Below are 25,346 nucleotides of genomic sequence, written 5' to 3' on the forward strand. Positions count from 1 at the left end.
AAAAAACATTTTGAAGACTCATGATTTTGAGTTGGGGCAAATTCTCAACAAGATTGCTTCTGCCCTACAATTTCTAAAGATTAGCACCAAAGATCTACCAAATAGTTTTTCATGGGAGAAAAATCACAATTGTACTGAAGAGAGAATGAGAGTAGCTGATCTCATTGGCTTCACAATCAATATAGATATAATAAGAGCTTCATCATGTTAGATAGATCAGCCACAATTACCATAACCAGTATCCAAAAGAAATTTGAGTTCTTATCGTAAATTATCTTAAGAAAGAACATGAACAGCAATACAATCAATACACATTTTAGTTACAAAGCAATGAGCTCCTCCATGACCTTAGATCTGGATCTATAAATATGTTTACTCTCTGAATTAGTTCCATGGAAAATATTCATTTGCCTCACATCCTGTGTAGCAGGAGACGATGTCTAAGAAAAATGTCTGGAATGCAGTTCTTCATTACGAATAAGTTAGTGACTGAGAGATTCAATTTTTCGAGGGAAGAATAGGAACAGATGAGAGCCAACTTTATATATTTATCTATTTCAGGCGTAGAAAAAGTCATTGTTCACAAAAAGTTCATTGCTGTTACCATCAGAGACAGGTAAACTGACTGATGAAGCGGGAAGTGTTTTAAAGTGCTCATCCTCATGTAGTATTTCCAGATGTCTCACTAAATGTAACATGGCTTTTTTTTTTAAATTCCTAAAGCTACGTATTTAGCAGAATAAATTACTCCTCATGCCACTCTTAAATTTGCCCAGTCATTCACATCCATTATTTTCCACTTAAGAACACTTGAAAATATGTATGCTCCCTCTTTAATCAGAAAATTTTTTTTTTAATGTTTTGCTGTGGTTTGAATGTTTGTCCCTTTTGAAACTCATGTTGGAACTTAATTCCCAATGTAACAGTATTAAGAGGCAGAGCCTTTAAAAGGTGATGAGGTCATGAAGGTTCTGCCTTCATGAATGGAATATAGAGTAAGGGCTTAATGGGTTATCATGGGAGTGAGTTAGATATCACAAGAGTGGGTTTATTATAAAACCCAGTTTGGCTCTCAGTGAACACCCCTCGCCATGTGATGCCATGAGCTGCCTTGGGACTCTCTGGTGTGCCCACCAGCAAGAAAGTTCCCACCAGATGTGGACCCTTCACCTTAGACTTCCCAGCTTCCAGAACTTTAAGAAATAAATTTCTTTATTGAATACTTTAACCAGTCTCAGGTATTCAGTTACAGCAATAAAAGGTAGACTAAGACATGTCTGTTATAATTGATACAGCCCCTAAAATACTAATAGGTCTGTTCTCCAAGCCACTGTTAAGTGAGTTTTATGACACGGAATATATGCATATTATTAAGACTATGGTATAGTTTGTAACTGAGAATATATATGCATATATATTCACATCTTTCTATAAACACACACGTATATATACAAATATACGCCTGTACTGAAGAACACTGTTTAATCAAGTAAGTTTCAAATAACCCAGAAGCCTGCAGAAATCAGACAAGTCCATTCTCTGAGTAGCAAATAATATAAGTAGTTCTGAAATCTGAATATACAACAGAATCATCTGTAGGGCTTGTTACAATGATTTGCCACATCCAACCCCAGAGTTTCTGATTCAGTATGTCTTGGGGTTGGGGGCAGAATTTGCATCTCTTATGAGTTCTCACCTACATGTGCCAACGTTTTCAGTTTTGAGACCATCCTTCAAGAACAACTGCTGTAGATAAGTTTCTATACTTTTCAGAAAAAAAAAAAATCAGCCACTCCCCCAAATCTGTGTCCCAAAATTTGCATCTCTGTCAGCAAGAATATTGTGTGGAGCTTTACTCTCTGTGCTTTGCATTATATTTGTTCGTTTCCAAAATATTAAATAATATTTCAAATTGGAGTTGTTTATCTCCCTGATTTCTGCACATTACATACCCCTGAACAGGAGGTTATACTCACTGAGAATCATCACTTTAAATTTTCAAATAAAACAATTTCCATTATTAAACAGCCATATCTCTTAATTTAAAATAAGTTCAATTTTACTTGTAAACCTTCATTTCTTACACTGAATGATGAAAATGAGTGTATTTGTGATAATATTTTAAAGATTTTAAAATATCTAAAATATTGTATAATTTTTTAAGAGAGAGACCCCGTCATATTTACAGTTTAAGAGAAAAGAAAATCTACATTCCTTCTATAATTTCTTCTTATTTGGGGCAGCCTTTCTTCAAAACTACTATATTACAAAAATACCCATTTTATCATTTTTCATTTTTTAGGCAGTAACTAGATAACTTGATATATGAATGATTAATTGAAAAATAGCAAGAAATCATTACTATATCCGAAGTTAGAATTCTCATAGAGGAAACCTAAGATAACACATATAAGGTGTAATATATAGCTATGTTAAAAATTTTTTCACATTACATATTATAGAAAAAAGTTATTGTTTTTAACATTTAATATGTTGTGTGATTAAGAAAACGAAAATTATTATTATTTTTTTTGAGATGGAGTCTCACCCTGTCGCCCAAGCTGGAGTGCAGTGGCACGATCTCGACTCACTGAAACCTCTGCCTACCGGGTTCAAGCGATTCTTCTGCCTCAGCCTCCTGAGTAGCTGGGATTACAGGCACCTGCCACCATGTCTGGCTAATTTTTTGTATTTTTTAGTAGAGACGGGGTTTCACCATGTTGGCCAGGCTGGTCTCAAACTCCTGACCTCAGGTGATCCACCTGCCTCGGACTCTCAAAGTGCTGGGATTACAGGCGTGAGCTACCGCGCCTGGCCAGAAGCCAAAAGTTTATGAAGCTTTGAATAACAGTTGAGAAATTGAACTTTTGAGTAAATATGACTAATTTGGTAACATTTTGCAGTCAGATTTTACTATGTATGATCATGCTTACTTGTGATTTTCTAATCCACATATGATGCTGTATGAATTCAACTTTTCTTAAAAGCTCGATAATGCAAACCCTTGGTTAAATTTTAAAGCACTTATTGGCATATACAAATTTGCGTGTTGACCTCTAATTATGTCAGGCATCATATGGAAAACAAATCTCTAAAAACTATGACTGATTATAGGATGTTTCTTCCCTAAACACAAAGGTTAGGTTTCTGAAAATCTAGAAGAATTAGTAAAAGATAAAGAACATATCATTCTGAGAAAAATAAGACTGGGAGATTGAGGTTATAAAATAATGTAAGAAAGCCATTTTAATTAATACAAAATATGTCATATATATTATTAAGTTATATTATTAAAATATAAAATAATTAGAGTACATTCAATGAAATGATAATAATGGGTATTGTACCGTTAGTTTCTATTTGAGAGTCCTTGATCTCACCGACTATTTTAAGATTTCTTCTCTATCTCAATCAGAAGCCTGTAAAAATATTTCTACTTCGTTAAAATAATATGTAAACTAAAGAATTATTATGTATTTTCCATCATCCAAGTATTCAACAGTTCTTTGAATTTATTATCTAAAATTATTACATTAATAATAATGCCTACTCCTCTGCCCCACTGCCATTCTGGAGATGAAGGGCAAGTCGCATATTTGAGATAGAGACAATTGTGTCTCATTTTGGTTTTTCCTATAATTGGGTCTGAGATAGATATTTTAAAATTTCATGACTTCTCTCTCCCCAAATACAAAGTTAACTTTGTATTTGTATAATGATTTTTAGAAAAATTTTAGCTCACATATCAGCCAACTTGATGTGCCCCTCATCCTCTCTTATCTTCCAATTTTACATTATGAATAATCATCATTTCCTCTCTTTAATCTGTGTCTCTGCCCTTTTATCATCTCCTACTTCTAAATTTTGTTTTATTCTTAACAAGAATGACATTCAAATCATATTTTTTAAAAAATCACATCTCCTTTGCAGAAAACATAAAAAACTCAATTATAAATGTTACAATGTCACAGAAATAATTTACATTTGTTGAACGATTTCTGTTCTAATATTCCTCACAGATATATTTCCACTGGCTGTGTTAATATTTCTAAAAGAATAAACCTATAGCCTGAAAATATATGAAGCTTAACAAAATTAAAATATGATAATATGCAATAGTGGTGAAGGTTTTTTCACAACACACAGTAAGAATAAATCCTCTTTTAAAATGTACTCAAAAGTACCTACATCAACAATTAGGAAATCCAGCCAACACCAGGCATTGGTGAAATATGTTTTATAACCATATGCTATCCATTTTAGAAGCATTTCCAGAATGAAGATGTAAGTGAAGATCTTGTCTGCATACTCCAGGATAATCTTAATGGTCTTTTTCCTTTCAATATAAATATCTTCAAAAGCCTGTGGAAATAATATTCAAGTTTCAATCATGCACAACTTAAGCTTCATGATTCATTTAAAAAAAACAGGAAAAATACAATTCTAATGCTAAGACTGCTGAAACATAATATTGACATGGGCCAGCTGACATTTTTTCTGGTTTACAGTTATCATATAACAGTTAGTTCTAGCCTTCTCACCAGTGCTGCTGCTGGTCTTCAGAGGTCAAGAGAAAGTGCAAAAGAATGAAATTACTTATAATCCACAAAAAGACTCATGATCTCTGACACCTGATCATTTCCACCTCCATCTGATTCCTCCTCTTTCTCCATTAAAATTGGATAAGTCCTAGCAATTTAAGACATGATCCCATGGCCAGCCACTGTTATAAACTTTTCACATCCTACACTCCCCTTTTTCCCCACCAGTAGGATGTGGAGCCTGTCTTTCAGCTCTCAAATGCTTGTGCATCCCAGTGCCTAGTACCATGTTAATAACAGCAGCAGGAAAGGAAAGATTTGCTAAATGAATGACTGCAGTAGCTTAATAGGCCTATAGAACACAGAGGGTGCTTTTTCCTTTGACTATTCATCCATATATTATCCTTCAAAGCTTCAGCTCTAAAAATCACTGTTCTATTCTCTCCATTAATGCGGTGCTTCCTATGCTTTCCAAGAAATTTTAGTAAGTGACACACAACATTATGTGACAACATTAGGTGAGCTCTATCTAATGTAGGGCTTACGCTTTACTGTTACTAATTTTGGTTATCACTCATTTACTCCTATTTTGTGTATGCTCTTCTGTCTGAGGAGCCACAACACAGTGAAAGGACAGGGTGACTTTGACTTTAGACTTCAGCCACATGTCCCTTGACAAAGAATTTGAAAGGACTGAAAAATTGGGCTCATTGTTGCAGTGAGCCAAGATCACGCCACTGCACTCCAGCCTGGGCAACAGAGCAAGACTCTGTCTCAAAAAAAAAAAAAAAAAAAAGGCTCATTGAGACACTGAAAATGATTGCTGATCTCAACAGGTCTAAAGTGTTAGAACTTTCTCTTTCAGATCGAAACACTATTAACCCTGTTGGATAAAATGAAAGTCAAAGACCTGTATCCTTCGTGGTTAATATTATATTTATTACCTGTCTACAGTCATGAACTTGTGCCATTCAGATTCTTCTTATTCTACGTTCTGCTTTCAATACTCTAAAATTATCCTTAGCAGTTTTGGGAAACTGTTGGTATCAATATTGAAGAAAAGAGACAAGTTGGGGCAGAAAGACTGAATGGACCTACTAAGATGCAAAAAGAAGGTCCCAGCAGTTGGCAGAGGTTCTGAAATTCAATGGAATTGAAGTGCAGAGGGAGGCTTCTAGCCCTCAGGATTTTCCTCCCCTCCACTCCACCCCCAAATTCTGGAGGAATCAGGCAAGCCATCTAAACCGAAACTATGGCAATGACTCAGTCCTTGAAATACAAAGACAAGGAAGGGGCTTAGTCACAAGGAAAACGAAGCCTGTTTCTAGAACTGGTGTACAGGGTCAGAGCAGAGCCGCAGGAAGTCTTGATGATGAGAACCTCTCTCTGACTGGTCCCAGAGCAGGAATTAGAATTCAGCCCACAGGGGTTCTAGCTTCCAGAACCAATTTTGTGGATGTAGGAGCAAGGAGGCAAGAATGACCTTATGTGAGCTCTATCTGATTTAGGACTTAACGCTTTACTGTTACTAAATTCAGTTACCACTCATTTATTTCTGTTTTGTGTATACTCTTCTTTCTGAGGAGCCACAACACAGTGAAAAGATATGGTGACTTTGATTTTAGATGTCAATTCAGTGATAGCTCTGTCATTTACTAGCTTTGGGACATTAAGCAACTTTTAAAACTGTACCCAGCTTCATCATTGGTAAAATAAGCAAAATATCATAATCTCACAGGGTTGTTTGAAAATTAAATGAGAAAATCTAAAAGAAGATTCTGAAACACAATAAGTATAAGCTAAATGAGAGCTATTACTTCTTTTTAACTTTTATTTTAGGTTTGAGGGTACATGTGAAGGTTTGTTACATAGGTAAACACGTGTCATGGGGGTTTGCTATACTTTTAAAAAATCTAGTTTAATTGGCAACCTGTCTAAGTACAAACACCAGCTTCTTGAAATATCTTTCCCTTTTCTTCCTCATATGATTTATTTAAAATACACTTTTGAGAATGCCCTCCCCAAATGTCTTCCTCTGTTTTAGACATTTTGAACAAGGAATTACTCCAAACTTTAATTTTTTTGTAATCTCCTCTCTGAAATTCTCAGTCACATATGTGAGTCAGCATGGGATAAACCTCCTTAGTTACTAGGAATACATTGCATGGTAGACACTATCATGATTTCTACTTGGATGACTCCAGGTAAGGAAAATAGAGCTTTTCTGATCACATTTTCTGTTTCTGAGAGTTGAGACTTGATAGGAAAGGAAAGCCACAGTGGGTCCCTGCAGGTTGTTGGGGAGTGTGCCAAGAATGCCAGGCTCTGCCTGCTCCTTACCTAGGACATTCCTCAGGGTTGTGTTTGCAGTGAGCAACCTTGAGACATGAGGTAGGGTCTCTGGGACAAAGAGCAGGGTTGCTTATGTTGCTTGGTATAAAAGGATGCATTCCCTAAGCTCAGTGTTCCTCAGCTGTGACATCAATCCACTATATGTGTACACACTCATTCAGGCTCATATAATGCCCCCATGAGACCTGGGTAAAGGGGGAACCAACAGAAACATGTTGAAACTCATGCTACTTTCCACACATAAGTAACAAAGTCCTTTATCTCTGACCCAAGCACCTCATATCTTCTGCCAGCATCCATGAAACAGTATCAGATCAACCTATTAGCATATAAGTACAGTAAAATCAAAGTCCAAACTCATGAAGACTGTCTATGAGGCAAGTTACAAAGTTCTTGAGTATTCTATTTTTAGTATAATGAAACTTCCAGTGGTATATCTAGCTAGATCTGGGCTCCTAATGGCTTCTAATGGCTCATCTCTGTCAGCGTCAGCAGGAAAAATGACAATTAAGAAAAAGGTTCAGGTAGCTTGTAATTCTACTAGATCTCTTTCAACTCTCATGGAAGCTGCTTGTATGTGTACAAGAATGAGAAACTTGTCCTACTTTTATCCTAAAACTACCATCTGTTTTCCCTTTTTATAACACACAAGATGCTTCACAAGCTGACCTTGCTTTCTCATAGTATCTCTGGCCACCTGTACTTGTTCTTCTTCCCACCACACTTGCAGTTCAGCAGTTTTTAATTTCCTGAATATCTGATGCTGTTTTATGCCTCCTTACGATTGTATACTTGTTCCCCTCAGCCTGCCTTGCCTAACTAGAAAATTCCTGTTCGTCTTTCTAGACCCTGAAAAGCACCATTTACGTTTCTGAAATTGCAAGCAGTTGTTCTCCTTGCTACAGAACTTTGTCACATTTACACTTTGCTTACAAACACATCCAAGCTCTACAGTTACTCATTTGTATTCTTCTCTTCTCCATTGCTCTGAGCTCCTTAAGAATAAACAGTACCTGGATCTTATTTATCTTTGCATTGTGAAAGTTGATCATACAAATTGGGTAGTTCTTGTCCTACTCAACTAACAGTCAACTAAGAGTCAAGAAGGCAGGGGGAAAAGCTCTCAGGGTACAAAACATTACTCCAAGAATTATAATTCTCTGCAAGACTGACTGTTGAAGCTGCTTGTTGTAACTTGAAATTAGTTTTATCTATAGCTTCTGAGGAAACCTGTTACACTCTAGGACTAATTGTGCCAACGACTGTTGCTCGCCAGTTGGAGCTTACCAGTTCCCCAGATCCTTACTAGGGCCAATGAACTTTCTCAAAGAGCAATATATAACATTTTCCCATTTTAATAAAACCTCTAACCTTCTCTCTTTGTTCTACAGGGAAAGTGCTTTCAGTTTATGCCACAGACTCTCTCCCTGTTTTGCAAACTGATATTGCCAGTAAAATTCTCTTTTCTATTATAGCCATCTGGGTGGTCCTTTGGACAACAGCATTCAGGGCAGCAAGGATAATGCCTGGCATGTAGGAGTGCTCAGTAACTATTTACTGAGCTCAAGTAAAATTTTGTCATTGGCACTAATCATAGGGATTAATTCTAGGTAAAACAACTTGCCATGATATTTTTATCTTTTAGCTCATTTTAAAGAATATTGACTTAATCAATATATTGACTTAGGTGTCAGATCATTTACCAGGGCACCACTGCTGAGCAGGATCATGAGGACAATGAAGCTTTCAAACCAACTGTGTTCAACAATCTTGTAGCAGGTTTTCCTGATGTTCCACCAGATTTTTCCTTTCCCTGACTCTATGTTAACTTGGCAGCATGAGAACCTCCATACACAACCTGACAAGAAAGACATGCATGTTAAATCTTGATATTCAGAATAAATAAAATTTTTAATACATTATTTAATGCAAACTGCTTTCTGTGATACTCCCTCAACCAAATAATTTCAACACCTATACTTGCAATTTCAGATAGATTTAATTTGGATGCTGCCTTCCTTCATCTTCTAACTTTGCATGATGTTTTCTAAATAGTTGTTAGTTAGTTTTAGCTTACAATGTATTCTTGTCTTCTGTAATCCCCAATTTCTCTTCAGTCTCCTCCACAGTCTTTAAACCACTTTCATTTTATGTGTGAATGAATGAATGAACTAAAATCTGAAGACGACATGAATTTTAGGGTCTTCTTTTCTGACAGATAAATTTTTCTAGTCTATAATTTTAGATACTTCCACTCCTCTATGGTAAAAACCCTCTGAAATACACCTTTCTAAACAATATTGAGAAAATTAGTGGAAACTCCTGAAATTAAGTTCAAAAGAAACTCATCTTGATTAGAAGATCCAGATGAAACTGTTTCAAGTATTCTAAGTTAAAAACAAATGTGACTTTAAATTTTTATGTACAAAATATACTGCTACAAAAAATTGAAAATTGTACTTAAAAATGGTTAGGTTTATTCATTCATTAACGCATTCTTTTGTCCATCAAACCCTTGTTACGTATCTTTTATGTATTCACCTCTGTACATGATTTCCTTTCCTCAGTGAATTTATGTTAGGTTTTGGTTAGGTAGATAAAAACAGAAATAAATGACTATAACTAGATATGGCAACTAAAGTGACAGATAGTCAGGGTTCATTTTGATAGCATGGAAGAAATCAATCTCACCTGGCTTATTTCTTGAGAAAGAGAGATCAGTAGAGGCTTCCTAGAAGAGATGGAGCCTGGGTTGAATCAAAATATCAGTAAAAAAGAGTTTGGGTGGAATTCCAGGCAGCAAAAATTGTTATGCATAGAAATTTAAACCAGTTTAGAATTGTGATGCAAGCAGAATGTACACAAGAGGCAAGGGTGAGAGGTGAGCTTAGAAAAATTGGTCAGATTATGGAAAGCATTGGCCTTTACCTTAAGGAGTTTGGCTTATATCCTATTGAGGTTGAGGAGTAAGTAAAGGGTTATAAGCAGGGAACGAGATACGCAAATTGCAATGTAAATAGATGTCTCCACGGTACATGGAGGATAAGTTGGAAGGGTGAATAGAGAGGAGTAGGGGTGAAGAAAGTTTCATACCCAGAAAACCATTTGGATTCTGGTCCAGTATCCTGTCTGGAGGGAAAGATTAGTTAGGAACTAGAGTTGTAACAGATTCAAGACATATTTGGCAGATAAAATCAGCAGGATTTGGTGATTGATTGGATATCAAATGTAAGAGAAAGGAAGGATCCCAGGACTACCAGGTGGATGTTAGCAGTGAATTGAAAACCACAGGAGGAGGAGCTGACTCGGCAGGTAATGATTTTGAGATGCCTGTGAATTGTTTAAATACAGATATCCTATAGATTTTAAAAATGGGGGTGGGAACCTGAAACGGGAAAAACCTGTCTAGAAAAGAATTCTTAGTAATAATTAGCATACATGTATCTGCTGAAGTCAGAACAGTTTTTGAGGTCACACAAAAAGAGTATTTAGGGTGAGCAGAAAAAGGGCCAACTCCGAAACATTCTGAAACAACAATATTAAGGGAGAGAATTCAATGGTGTGCTGAAAGCAGACCATACCAATTCTTGTTGTTAAACTGTCAGAAATTCCTGCTTGTCTGTTGTTAAAAGCAGCCATTATTAAATATTTGACTATATAAACTTAGAATTCTATAACTTACCTTAAGGAAAGGTAATAAATACTAAGACATATCACTTCCTAATTATTTTACTGTATTTTATTTGTCTATTCCGTTTGAATAGCAGAAGTATGGCATACTGTCGGGCTATTGTGCATCTCTTCTTTCTGGACGGTGGTCTATTCTCTCTGGATTATTCTCTCTGGACAGTAGTAATATGCTATACTATTGGGCTACTGTGCAACTCTTCTTTCTGGATGCTGGTCTATTCTATCTGGCCTATTCTATCTGGATGGTGGAAGTATGTCACACTGTTGAGCTACTGTGAATCTCTTCTTAACTCTGCATTTAGCAATTTCACATCAGTAGTTTGAAATCAGTGATGGTGGGAATCTTTACATTACAAAAATCTCCAAGCACTACAAATGAGAGCTTCTTGATTTTCTAGAGTAGAATTAAGAAGGTGATGGAGGAAATGCCAATAAAACAGATAAACAGTCAAGGTGTATTGTGTTTGTAGCCATTACTCTGAATAGCACAAAAATTAAAAAATATCCTTTCATTATTGAAATTCTGTTTTTTGATTTGCAAATAATTGCTTACATCACTGATGAATGAGTAAAGTTCTGACATATAGCTTCTTCATTTCTTTTTTATTTCACTGACTAACATAAATATCAAGCAGTCTTCATGCTAAAACTATACTTGTTTATTAGCTGCAAAAATAGGTTGCCTATACATGCAAAAGTTTGGCAAAGTTCAAAAAAAGCATTCTTTGAGAAACAATTTGATATACAGAATGTTCAATAAAAAGTTGTAATATTTTATTATTTGTAAATTGTGTGTCATATATCCTAATATCAGTAAAATTTATAGTAAATGATATAAGTACACATTTTTTATTTTCCTTGGAGAACCAGTTTATAAAAATATTTACCTACACATCACTAGGACAGGTAGAGGAGAAAACTTTGAAGTAGATGAAATGAGAGATGAACAAGAAGGACCAAGAGGGTGCAGTAAAAGAGAAACCAAAGAGTAAAAAGTTTTATAAGAAGTGATAAACAGAGCTATGAACATAAGAGGCCCAGAAAGAGAATGATTGAAACATTGAAAAATTTTAATCAATTTAAAGTTTATTAAAGCAACTAGAATTACTCTGAAGAAAAGAGAGACTCTTTAAAAAGTAACTACAGTGAATTCTTCCTCATAAAATTTTAGATGAAAAACCTCATTTTAGATGAAGGCAGGAGGTGGGAAAGTAAGAATGGGCAGCACTTTTTTGATACCTGTTTCAGAAGTTTGAATTTTAGATATTTCTAAAAGATTGATCTCCTTTTCTGTAAAACAATATAATTCATTAACAAGTATTGAGTTTTCAAGTAACAACTTCAGATAATCATAAGTTGTATGTTCTAAAACAACAAAACTAGAATCCTCTTGACAAGATGCACCTGGTAGAAAATGTTTTGTAATGAATCTTTTCATGTTTCTGAAGTCTAATTAGTGCATTGATCCAGTTGATATAAGGTTATTTTCTAGCACTTTAATTTCCAGCTCTATAGAAATACAGCAAACAAGGTGTTTCCCTCTCCCCCTATGTCTCTGGTGTTTTTGTTATCATGTATATTTTATGTGTTCCTGTTTTTTCTCTCTGGAAGTTTCTAAGTTCCCAGAAGACTCAAACTGAGTCTGTAATGCTTGCTCTTTGTGCTTATAGTACTCATCATAGTCCTCTACTTGGCTTAATAGGTCATTTATAGTTGATTTTTAAAAGACTTGATTCCCCAAAAAGAGTTATATAATCTTCTAAGCAGTTAGTCATAATTTGAAAGGTTACATCTCTGTGAATTCTATACTTTACATAAACATTGGATGAAAAAGAAAAAAAAAGGTGAATGGAAAATCTACACATAGCTTCATTTATACAATGTTAATTACAGTGAACATGATCTCAGATCTGAAATTATGTATCATCCTATACTTAAATAATTATTATCTACATGCATTTAGTTAAGAGAGAACATTCGATAAAATGATATAAAAACAGAGTAAAAGGGTAGGGTCAAAAATTAACTCTAAGTTAATCTTTTTCAGGGAAAATAAAAATACCAGAGAGAGCGAAAAAAATGAGATGAATTTTTTAATATTAACTTAGTGCTTTAGAATTTGTCTTAAACTTAAAAACAATGATCACATATAAGAAAGAATTTATCTTTCTCAGGGGCAAATTATTGGATAAGAAAATTATCCCTTTGGTTAAGAAGATTTTGCTCTCTGGGATTTACTTTTGTCAATCTTAAAATTGAAGGGAAACATTATTCTTATGATTGAGGAAATAAAAACACTAAAAATCCTAATTAGAAAAGTTAGTAAACTTTCAATCTGAAATGAAGTTTCATAAATATTGCCCTCAGGGTTTATTACACCTCAGAGAGTTTCTTTCTCTTATTTTGAGGCAAGAGTGATGGAGCGCCTGTCTGGTTTTTGTGCAAAGGTATATCCCAAGAGATTTCCAACTAAGCTGGTTAGCAATGTTATCATACCTTCTCTTTAAAAGGACTATTAATTGAATGTAAACATAACAGAGAATCTCTCAAACATTTTAATGGGTCCCAGTGAGTAAATGCTATTTCTTTTGGGTGGTTTCACTAATGTGCTCTCATGGTGCATTACATAAAGTCTATGCTGAGTTTCATCATGTTAAACCAAAGCTCTCAAAAAAAAAAAAAAAAAAAAAAGGAAAGGAAAGAAAAAAGAAACCACTGACCACTTCAAAAGACAGACTATTCATTAAAAACCATAACAGCATGATCAATATAATTAATTTAAAAATTGATTATGAAAACAAGCTTTTTTCACCATTTCTTAACATCAAATATAACTAAAACAAATATTTGTTAACATTATCTTTCCAAAAGAAAGAAAAAATAAAAGTCACAAAGGAGTTGGTTATTGTGTTACTAAAGTTAGAATTAATTATTAGTTATTTTATAGGAAGGGGGTGAATACAAAACATTTTGAAAGGAAGATGATTTGGCTTCTCCTACCAAGTTAACAGAAAAATACATTACTATTATTACCATTATTATTTTTTGAGACAGAGTCTCACTTTGTTGCCAGGCTGGAGTGCAGTAGCAGGATCTCAGCTCACTGCAACCTCTGCCTCCTGGGTTCAAGCGATTCTCCTGCCTCAGCCTCTTGAGTAGCTGGGACTACAGGCGCTCACCACCAGGCTCAGCTAATTTTTGTATTTTTAGTAGAAACGGGATTTCACCATGTTAGCCAGGATGGTCTCGATCTCTTGACCTTGTGAAAAAGGTTATTTTTCGCTAACTCTAATCCTGATTATGTAATTTACTAATTTGATAATCTAAAAGCAGCACAATATAAAACCACATAGACCCAAAGAGTCATGTCATGTTCATAATTATATAGGTTGCCAAGTCATGTAGAACTAAGGATAGTAAAGAACAGGGCAAGATATACGGAAGCAGTCTGAAGTCTTCAAATACAAAGTAATAGACACAGAGCTAAGGAACAACCTTGCATAAGAGGGAGAGAAAAGGTGAATAAGAGGAACCAGATGCAATCAATGAAATACATTAGTAAAGTGATAATTATGAAGCTGAAATGAATCAACAAATGTGAGACTATGAACAACAAAATCGTTTTAACATTTATCTTCAGTAAAAACATGCTACTTGGATTTAATTCTTTTTCATACTTCATTTAATTTTTTCTGTTACCTTTCAGGTAGCAGAGATCTCTGGAGGTGAAACATTGCTCTGAACTGGCATTGATTCTAGCCCAGCTCTTGTAGACCAATTACCAACTTGTAAGTAAACATGTTCATGATTCTTCATTCTGACAAGCCCATGCTTCTCAGTCTTCATGTGGAAACTATGCATTTCCAGTTTTTAAGCACCCAATGTTCAATCCATCAACAAATCCCTTCAGCTCTAACTTCAAAATATACTCAGCATGTCACACCCTCACTATACAAAACTCTACCATACTAGTCTAAGCTCCCATCACCTCTCACCTGGATTTATGCAGAAACTCCAAGAAATCTTCCAGCTTCTGCCATTGCTATTCGCCCTTCCACTCTTAAGATTGCACATTGTGAGATTTTAAAATCACATCCTTATAATGTTCTTCAAATGTCTTATAATCTGGCCTCTACTACATCTCTGATCTACACTTTTTAAAAATAATGTCATTTGTTTTATTTGTTTGTTTGTTGGAGACAGAGTCTTCCTCTGTCGTCCAGGCTGGAGTGCAGTGGCACAATCTTGGCTCACTGCAACCTCTGCCTCCTGGATTCAAGTAATTCTCGTGCCTCAGCCTCACAAGTAGCTGGGATTATAGGCATGTATCACCAAGATCAATTAATTTTTTTTTCATTTTCAGTAAAAATGGGGTTTCGCTACGTTGGCCAGGCTGGTCTTGAACTCCTGGCCTCAAGTGATCGCCCACCTCGGCCTCCCAAAGTACTGGAATTATAGGTGTGAGCCACTTCACCCAGCCTCTGACCTTAACTTTTAATCCTCTTCCCATCTTTCATTATTCTCCATCTATTTTGGCCTCTTGGTTTTTCCCAAATGTTATGCATATCCTCACCTTGGGGCATGTGCCTTCATTACTCTGCCTAAAATACTTTCCCTCCATATATTTGCACGGCCCCCTTCAATTTTCTTTACATCACGGAAGAAACGCCACCTTTATAGGCAGGCTTTCTCTGACCAATCATTCATTGATAGCATATTTATGTGCTAGTAAGTTCTTCCCCCTCACTCTTGGTATTCCTCTTTTCCATATACCTTCTCCATAGCACTTTTCACTTATCTGACCTGCTACATCTTGATATGTTTCTTCAGCAAGGGGTATTGTTTTGTTCACAGCTCCATCTCCCTCCAGTGCCTGGAACTGGACCTGGCACACAGGTATTTAATAATTATTTGTTTACTGGAATAAAGAATGATTATGTGAATACACGGTTGAAAGGCTAAGCAAATTGGCTGCTTCACTGAATTTATTAGGCTACAGATCCAGAGACTGTATGAAGTCTCTGCTGGAGCACATAAAAGGGATGTGACTCAGAGATATATGCTCCCTCAGTAAATTTCAATGGTCCAAGCCCAGGTTCATTGGAAAATGTGTTTCCATAATATTTCTTCTATACTGGCCTCAGTTTGGAAGCAATGAATAATCTCAGAGTATTCACAAAAGTATTTTCATTGATGTTTATAGGATTAAAAAAACTTTGTATTATATCTTATTATAACAGCACCTACAGTCTGAAATAGCATAGTATTAATACTTTCTGTAAGAGTTTAAGTTTTTTGAAGTCATTTTTTGGTTTGAAACTTTAAGTTGATTGATAAGCCCAACTTCTTTCTAGTTATCCTAGAATTTTAAGTCATGATCATTCATAAAATGAATAGGGAAAATCTTGGTAGCATCAATACAAATTTAAGTCTATATACTGCTAATAAATTTCTTGAGGAGCAGGCCATACATGTTGATGAAATTCTTAAATCTCTGTAACATGGACACTTTTAAAGGAAACTGTGCATTTGCTTATAGCACTAATTTCAGCAAGCACAAAATTTATATTGACTGGATGTCGTACACCTTTGCTTCTTACATAAAATGATATTTGGTGTGTATTTAAAGAAAATCCATGCACTCTTTGTAGTTTGCTGATGTCTTTATTTTCCAATCATTTTGCTTAACCCATGAATGTTATAAGAAACCAGTTGAGAAAATCTTGGACACTGAAAGCAAGTCGATGATTTTTCAAAAAATACTAATGCTGAGGGTAAGCCCATGACTAGATAAGTCATTAGCATCTGTGCTATCATAACTTCTGTATAAGATTGTTAACAGAATCCTTGAAGAATAAGAAAAGTAGAAGAAGGAAGATAGGCACTGTGCTAGTAAGTTTATAATCATTATCTTATTTGATCCTCTTAGCATCGCTGTGATGTGGATGCTGATATCCCCATTTTACAGATGAGATATCTGAAGAACAAGATTTTAAATTGTGCACAAGTTCTCACAGGCAGATAAGTCGGCAAATTAGAACATATGTTTATCAGGCTCCAAAGTTTGAACTTTGTATTACTGTATTACATTGCAGCCCTACTCTGGGCTTGTATTTTTACCTAGATGATACAATACTTGTTCAGACAATACTGCATTATCCCTGACAAATTCCAGAAGTAGTAAGAAATTCAGCATATCAGAAAGCATACAGGAGTAGAAGGAGGTACTGTTACAAAACAAGAGACTAAGGCCAAATGTAAAGAACTTTACATGTCAAGTTAAGGACTTCAGACTTTACCCTAGAGGCCAAGGATTCTCACATTTTAGTGTGCATGCAAATCCTCTTAAGGGCTTGGGCCCTATCTCCAGAGTTCCTGATGAACTTGTGACTAGCAAGGAAAACTTTAAGGGTCTCTCAAAGTCTTTAGCTTGAGGGTAAGGTAGATCATGAAGTTACTAATAAAGACTGGAGGAAGCTGTAAACCATACTAAAGTTTTGTTTTTGTTTTTGCTTTTCAAAAAAAAAAAAACTTATTAAACTTGGAATGTTTTACAAACAACAGATGGTGATGACCAATGGGGAATTGTAAGCAGATCTGGGACTCAAGAGTGAGGTTAGAGGTAAAGACATTGATGTTAAGAGTCAATAGCACAGAAATGGCTTTTCAAGCCACAGGCATGCATGAAACACCTCAGAGCTTCAGAATAAGAAAAGATAACTGAAGATTGAACATGTGGGGAGAAATCATTATTTACAGGATGTGCAGAAAAAATACTCATTAAAGAAATAGAGAGAGGAACTCAGAACTCTAAGACAAATAAAAGACCAAAGGTAGACTATGGCCTCTGAAACTAAGGAAAGGAAGAATTTTGAGAGAGACTGTAGTCAACAGTATCAAACAGTTTTCTGAGAGTTAGTGAGTAGATTCCATTTTTGATTAAAAGGACCAGAGTACAGACTCTTTCATTAACTTGTATTCTGGTGGTTCCATTGATCTGGGAATACGAATTAAGGCTCTAAAATAAGAAGTAGTAGCATGCTTACAGTCTAACATACAGTGATAGGAAATTACTGTTAGTCAAGTGCCATAGATGTGGAAACTCAAGCTTAGAGAGCTCTAGTGACTTGCCCTTAATCATCATACAGCTATAGCTGAATCAGCATGGAATGGAGTCTTCTGACTTACCGACAACCTCTGGTAAGTATTAGGCGTTAAGACAAACCCCAGAACACTAATTAAGGAATGCTAACCAAGGTCTCAATTTTTGTCTTACCATCTGTGAAACAGGCCTCTGGCTCATCGGAATTCATAGGTTCAGCCTCTGCTTCTTCTCCTTCTCCAGGCAAAGGGTTATCAACTGTGCTGCACTCTGAGGAGCTTGACCGGTTTAATCTCTAGAAAGGAATTCACCACCCCACCAGGTAGTTCATTTAGAGTTCATTCAAATATGATATTTAAGCCTTATTTAATAATCAGACTCATGCAAAGTATTATGAAAAAAGATTAATAGTATGATGGCCATAAAAAATGTATAAACACATATTGAGGTCAAGTAACCTTAAATGTATCTATACTTGATCTTTCTATCTACACCATCCTGTAAAATAATAAACTTTATTATGTTTATTATACTAACAAGTACGTGGCCAAAATTAGATAAGGTAATATATTGATGTTAACTATCACTTTTGGAAAGTATTGACCACATCTTATTTTTTAAATTTTTAATATAAATTTATGGACACTGACAATCATTATTTGAGGACAACCTATACCCTATTTGCAATATAATACAAGTGTCAAATTACTAATGCCTGATCATTGAAAGCTCAGATCAAATAGTTGGCAAAAAACTTATTGATAGTTAAAATTTTTTAAAAAGATAAGTGCAAGATAAAGTCCAAATGTATTTTTTATTATCTCTTGAATTTAAATATATGTAGCAGGATGATATAGATAGAAGTTCTTTGATCAAGACCACAAAATCAAATACGGTTTTGAAATCAAAATGCCAATGACCATACCAACACCACCCATTTTGTATATAACATTTTAGTATATAGTAGAAAAGATCAAACAGTATTATTTATAATGTCAAGAAAGTGGCTACTAAAGTAAGCACCACATGCAAACTCTGAAACAAAGATCGAAGAAAATTAAACATGGCAGACTTACACATGGAATAATGAATTCATTGTCATTATGATCATATAAGTGATCATAACGCAAATAGGTTTTTCTCACCCAGAGCTTTATGAGTAACCATGATGTTTACACATACACACACACACACGAAGAAATCTTTACAAAAAATACATACAGCAACTGTAGCAAAACTCTGTCAAATTTCCCAAATATTGTTTTATAAAGGAGTAAAGCAGCATATCAATGGAAGAGTTAATTTTTCATTCTCATTTGCTAAATGACATGTGAATATTGAAAGCTACTAGTTACTACAACACAATTCTCTTATTAAGTTACAACTTTATCTTTTTTAGAGTAGTTCAAGCAAGTGCAAGTGCTAAAAATAATAAAATACTTATTTCAGATAAATTGATTCTCAATCTATGAATTTGTATTAATATGATAGCCCAATCTAAAGGTTTGACTTTTAGAGATTGACTTGGAAGCTAGAAGTATTCTTGATGGGTACCACATTAAATTCTCAATGCTATTATTATCACCTAGTATACAACATCATAAAAATGGCATGGATAAAGTATTGTACATAAGGAATGATGTAAGCAGACAATGTCTTTCTTATAACTGGAGTAAATAATTATGAACAACCTATTAAGAGAACTCCTCCAATCTATGTTGGCCTAGAGGCATTATTCCCACCAGGTCCAGGAGTTTGATAACAGTTTCAGTTATGAAAGTATCAGTACAAAATTTCACTCAAAAACATGTTATTTAAACTGATTGAATTCATCTAAATTAGTTTAATTTAAAATAAGATAATAGAAATTAATTATAACTGAATATTCTATAAAACTATAGAATAGGCTTTAAAGTATAAACTATAGAATGAGTTTTAAAATATATAAGTTTTAAAATACAGATTAATCCAGGAAACGATGTTGGATAAACTTATAATTACTAATATGTATTTTGTGCCAATTGCCACAAAATCCAAAGTACCATATTTAGAAGACTACAGTTTTAATGGCTTCAATTCCTGACCTCTCGGCTGCACGTGAACTATCACCAGAGAAGTGAAAGACAAGGCCCTATTATTCTGTGAAGTTAAGACCAGGCCCTTCATTTCTGAAAAAAGAATTATTGGCCTGGGTTTTGAGGTAAAGCAGTGAGAGGAATTGCTGATAGAAAGAATACAAAGCACCCCCCTGCTATTAGACACAATATTAACAATAGGAAATAGTTATAATGGTTTTTCTCTGAGCTGGTAACAACTTTTAAATAAAATGATTCTTATTTGCAGAATTCTGACTTTAGCTAAATTCATGAAAGCATCTTCAAACATCAATAATTGGTTTTCTCACTGTTTAAGAGAGCATTAACAAAGATTTATGCCAAATTAGATTATGAGCAAGTAAAAATTCACGTGATTTTATATAGTGTATCTTGTTGTTGAAACTTTTTTTCATATGCAGGTTTTATGTTTTTTTAATGGTCAATTGAATTCAGCTTGGCACAGAATTTTACATCATAAAGTTATTCAATATTATTGTTCAATGGGACAGAAATTATCAAAATATTTAACATGAACTATTATTAATTAATTTGTATTTACAGACAAATTATTATGGCTAATAGATTCTTAGACATTCAATGTTTTCTTGGGAATGCATTAAGTATTCAAACAGTAACTATTTCCATACTGTATATAAAATTAAATGTTTATAAGCATGCTTTAGCAATATAGACAGTTCTAGTCAATTCAGCCTTTGAAATCTATACTTGCTACAGTATAAGCTTCTTTAGCAGATTTCTAAGAGAATACCTTTATATAGAAAGGCTGATATATATAATAAAGTTTTTTTTTCCTGCGGTGAAATATATTGAATTCTCACAGTAGGCATCACCATATTTAAGTACTTTGAATATATGTTTTTTACTATACAAGGAAGATCATATCAATTATTTGTATTATTTTATATGATTAATTTCTATATTATCTTCATTTCTTTAAACTCAATCATCTGTTGTTTAGTTTTCCATGTAATTTTGGAAATGAAAGAATGACTATATTAGAGAAGTGAAATAAATGCTTTAGTATGAAAGAAATTTCTTTTGCTATTATAAATAGGACCTTCTGTAATTTTCACATGGATTTGATTTCTAATAAAAGGGAAGTATCAATTTTTTTCATCATTGGCAGTCTAGTTATAAATAAAGTAAATATAAATATAAGCATAGGATCAAGAAGGTGGACTCACTAGTATTAGGAATCAGAAGTGTACCATAATTAGCATTCCTGCCTTTTTATTGAATAATATGATATTGACTGTGCCTTCTAAAAGTGTTTTAAAAATATGAAAGTGATATAGTTGACTCAAACATTTTAAATGTATAATAGTATTTACAGTGCAAAATAAAAGTTCCCTCCACTATCTCCTTGATTCAACCCCCTTGAGGTAATCGAGAGAGAGAAAAAGAGAGAGAGGAGAGAGAGAGAGAGAGAGAGAGAGACATATCTTTCCATATTTTTCAGTGTGCATCCATACAACACTATAGCTGTGAAACAATCCTTATCTTGATTGTAAACTTATGTAGCTATTTAAGATGCTCCTTTTCAATTACTGAAAATATGTCCAAATTAAAAGCTTTATTATTCTTCATGGTTTTCCCTTTGATTGCCTTGAAGCTGTGTTTTCTACTATACTGCTTGAGTAGAAATTGTGTTAAATATATGTATCATATTAGAACATGTCCTAAGTTGTTCACTTACAAATTTATCACTGGCATTTCCTAAGATAAACATTAACGATGTAAGCCTATTTCATGCTATCATGGATGATGGTTAATGCTAGTTATTTATTGTTCCAAGAGGTGTGAGGTAGGAGTGTCTAATGACTTGATAATCTAACGCTCAAAAGAAGAAACTATCAAACACAGCAGCACTGTACAAAACACAGAACTCAACAAAAACCTTACTCAAAGAGAATGATTGATGCTGAAAAGAACTGAAAAATGTTACATTTCAAGTACATACTATAAACTGTTTGCTTCACACAACAAAAAAAAAGATATTCTTTAAGGAGCAGAGCCTAGAATGGTTATTTCACCTGAGCCTTAAAATACTCACAAAAGACAGTAAGAAAGTTGAGAGAAGCAAATCAAAAGGAGGAGATGGGTATAAAAGAGAAGAAAAATTATGGCAGACAGTGGTAAACTAAGCTCCATTATCTGTTAATAAGCAAGAAAGACATTTTAAAATTAGTTTCAAGTTACTATTATCCATCTTTTAATTTAATTGTGTAGTTTTACGGTCAATATCTATAATTGTGTTCTTGAATCATTAAGGAGTAAAATAGTAAATTTCAATTAAAGGATCAAAGGATCCTTTGAGAAGAAATCCACACATAGTTACTATGTGGCATAAGAGTCCAATATTTTCCAAGTTTCCCATTATGTTACAGGACAACTAGATGTTTAAATACTCTCTTCTGGTGTAGAACAAAAATAACCTTTCTTCTCTCTTGCAATCATTCAGGGCCTTTATTTTTTTCCTTCTGGAGAAATGTGAACATTATCCTCTTATAGAGTTTTTAAAATTGGAGGTCATTAATATTATTGATATTACTATTAGTGCTTTTCATCTTGAGTGTAATCACATTTCTTAACATGATTTAGATTTCTGGGCCCCTTGAGGTCTCTACAATCTTTTTTTTTTGATATGAAATTTCTCAAGATTCTTTTTAAAAGGTAATGCCTCAAGTTAAAAAATCACTGAAGCTCAGGAATTTCAGGAAAAAAATGGAAATAATTAAAAAATACTCCAGATATTATTGATCAGTGGAAAACTCAACTGTATTTTCTTCTGTTGTCTAAGTTTTAATGTTACTTCCACTAATTTAGCAGAAAATTGTCAGTTTATTAACTAGTTGCAATAAATTCTGGGCTCACATTCTAATTATGGGCAACTAAAACTTTAGCTCTTTTTTTAAAAAAAGGGCAAGAAAACCAATTTTTTTTCCTTTCCTATTTTTCTTTGTCTATTGCTAGCAGAGAAATATTGTGTAGGCTCTGGGAGGAATAGCTACTTATTCAGCGTGAAACACACAGTTCCATCACAAGGTCAACATGATATATAGTATTCTGTTGGTGAAATAATGAGGTCAAATCTCAGCCACCACCAGAGAAATTCAGAATAAAACCAGTGATTTCACGGAGACCTCTTCTTTTTCTCAGAATCTTCTACCTAGGGCACTTTCTATCCAATAACATGAAAACTTACGTGACTAAATGATAAGATATGAATATAAAGAAATCATATAAAAGCAACAACAGTTGGCCATGTAAGAAGGCTAGACTGGCTACAGATTTCTCAGCCAGGTCCTATAGTATCATCTTGAAGCATCTTTCTAATGAAAAGAAGAGAAGCAAAGAGCTAGGAGTGTAAAGTGGCCATTGATATTCAAGGGCTCTCTCTGTGCTCTGTCACAGAACTGCTACACTGTTTGCAGAGAAAGCAGCTGGAATACAGTGGGTCAAGTCAGAGTGTCTTAAAGTCTTTAGAAGCAAACATTTAAACAATTTTGCTATTTATGCCAGCTTAAAAAAATGCAACAAGTAGGTAAAGAAGGATTGGAACCTTAGCAAACATAAAGGCAAAGTGTAGATACGCAGACTCAAGCTTCGTAAATATTATCTATAATTTTGAAACAAACAAGAATGACAAACACAAAGTAAGCTACCTAGATATCTGAATCATTTCTGTTAACTACTAATACTACCCACAATGAAGGAGGGCAAGGAAAAGTGAATTTTAATGAATGGAATAATTACTAGCTTTTTAAACATGTGGATTTCTAATATTGAAAATATAAATAGAAATTTTACATGGATAAAATAACTATATCCTTTATGTAGGCAGCTTTTGCTAAAGTGCCATATTTCAAGTCATTCTTAACTGAATATTCAGTTTTTTTCTTAAGAGGATGACCATTCATTAACATGTACCTCATCTTTTCTAACAGCTTGGTAAAAAAGTAATAAGAATTTATGAATTCAAAACATATATATGCATATGTTTATATGTCTATGCATGTATATATATTTCTAGAAATAGCTTTCTCAAAAATTATATGTTTTATCTATACCTATATAGATAATATTGGGTGTATATGCATCCTTATTTAGGCTCTAGTTGAAGAAAATTCACCATATTCTGGAATAAAATAGTTTTCTATGAGAATATTGCCTCTAAATCCCCACCAAATTTGAAATAGAAAAATATATCTTTTACTTAGGCCACCTTTAAAATTATCTTCAAATAAACTGGAACACTAAAATAACTAATTTTTCATTTGAAACTGTTAGCAATATTATCTCTAAGGTGTGTCAATTTCAGGATAAAGTTTTGCTTTCATCATTGCACAATAGATAACAATAATACAAACATCTCAACAATGACAGAGAAATTCAAAATATGAACTAGATTATAAAAAGGAGTCAAGATTCTTATTGGCAGAGATTCCTGCCCCCATCCTAGAACTATTAAAGTTCAGTCATTCAACAAAGTATGCTAAAATTAAAATATATCTTAGTATGTATTTTAATACATTTTAGAAATATTCAATAAGGCAATACATATTAATCTGTATCTAATTTCAGTAAAAGTGTTCTATGTGTTATTGATAGATAGGATTTATAATATGCTCTATCTAAACCTCTTAGTTTCTAGAGACTGATCTGATTATGTATATAATCAGAAACTTATTCTTATCAATGAGTAATATTACTTCTGGAATAAAATTAAACATTTTGAACACTTATCACTTATTCATTCATAGGCAAGGCCTATCAACTTTTAACTGATGCATTTTATATAGGAGCAAATAAAATCAAATGTTAATTACTGAGTTGATTTAAAAAAATAAAGTCCCATAACTAACAGTGCATAAAACCATTTCAAAATGTATTCAAAGTTTATACTAGAAGCAGGGTACTTTGGCTTTGACCCCAACTTTCTAGATGTGTACTAAGAAAGCATGAGTCTCAATTTGCTTATCCATAAATACATAACCAGAATTATTAAATACAAAGCTAGAATTACAATGATCTTTTCCTGCTCTGAGATTTTATATTTATGCCAGAAACACTTCTTCCACAATTTTTTAGAGTTTTGATCTACTTAATTTAAATGTGACAATTTAATGTGATATACATCTCTCCATATTTTTATGTAGATTAAATCAGGAAGGGAAGTTGATAGAGGTTTTCAAATTAAATGTAGCTTCAATGGCTACTGTTACATTCTGCATTTTACTTTTATAATCAATTCAATAAAAATCTACAGATCATGCACTTGAAATCACTTAAGCACATGAAGGTTACATCAAGAAGTCATCAAGAGAATCACAAAAAAATAATCAAATTGCCCTGGTGACATGCTGTGATGTCACTTTATCTATTGAACAACTGTATATGTTTCTACTTTCTTGCAGTGGGTCAGGCAGAAAGGTTTTGTAGCTGAACAGCATGCAAGACATTGAAAAAATATCGTATGTATGATTTTTTTAGGTAACCTGTGTAAAAGTGGTGACATATGTCTCTGCCTGGTTAAAAGCACAG

The 25,346-nt window shown here is 33.9% G+C and overlaps 1 protein-coding gene and 1 long non-coding RNA gene across 8 annotated transcripts in view; one reads left to right on the forward strand and one right to left on the reverse strand.

Annotated features, from left to right (window-relative positions):
• SCN1A-AS1 (SCN1A and SCN9A antisense RNA 1) overlaps positions 1 to 25,346 on the forward strand; it is a 220,254-nt gene that overhangs the window by 152,375 nt on the left and 42,533 nt on the right. The window contains exons 5-7 of the long non-coding RNA NR_110260.1: positions 14,290 to 14,371; positions 15,438 to 15,479; positions 17,874 to 18,007. This is a non-coding gene — a long non-coding RNA (SCN1A and SCN9A antisense RNA 1). The remainder of the gene's footprint in view (positions 1 to 14,289; positions 14,372 to 15,437; positions 15,480 to 17,873; positions 18,008 to 25,346) is intronic.
• The window catches only part of SCN9A (sodium voltage-gated channel alpha subunit 9), a 180,803-nt gene that overhangs the window by 38,721 nt on the left and 116,736 nt on the right, over positions 1 to 25,346 (reverse strand). For all 7 annotated transcript variants that reach the window (XM_011511618.3, XM_011511617.3, XM_011511619.3 and 4 more), the window contains 3 exons: positions 17,860 to 17,980; positions 8,597 to 8,751; positions 4,189 to 4,362 (listed from right to left, as the gene is read on the reverse strand). In XM_011511618.3, coding sequence (XP_011509920.1) covers positions 4,189 to 4,362; positions 8,597 to 8,751; positions 17,860 to 17,980 — 450 coding nt within the window. The remainder of the gene's footprint in view (positions 1 to 4,188; positions 4,363 to 8,596; positions 8,752 to 17,859; positions 17,981 to 25,346) is intronic.

This window comes from Homo sapiens, chromosome 2 (assembly GCF_000001405.40).
Source record: "Homo sapiens chromosome 2, GRCh38.p14 Primary Assembly".
Lineage (NCBI taxonomy): Eukaryota > Metazoa > Chordata > Mammalia > Primates > Hominidae > Homo > Homo sapiens.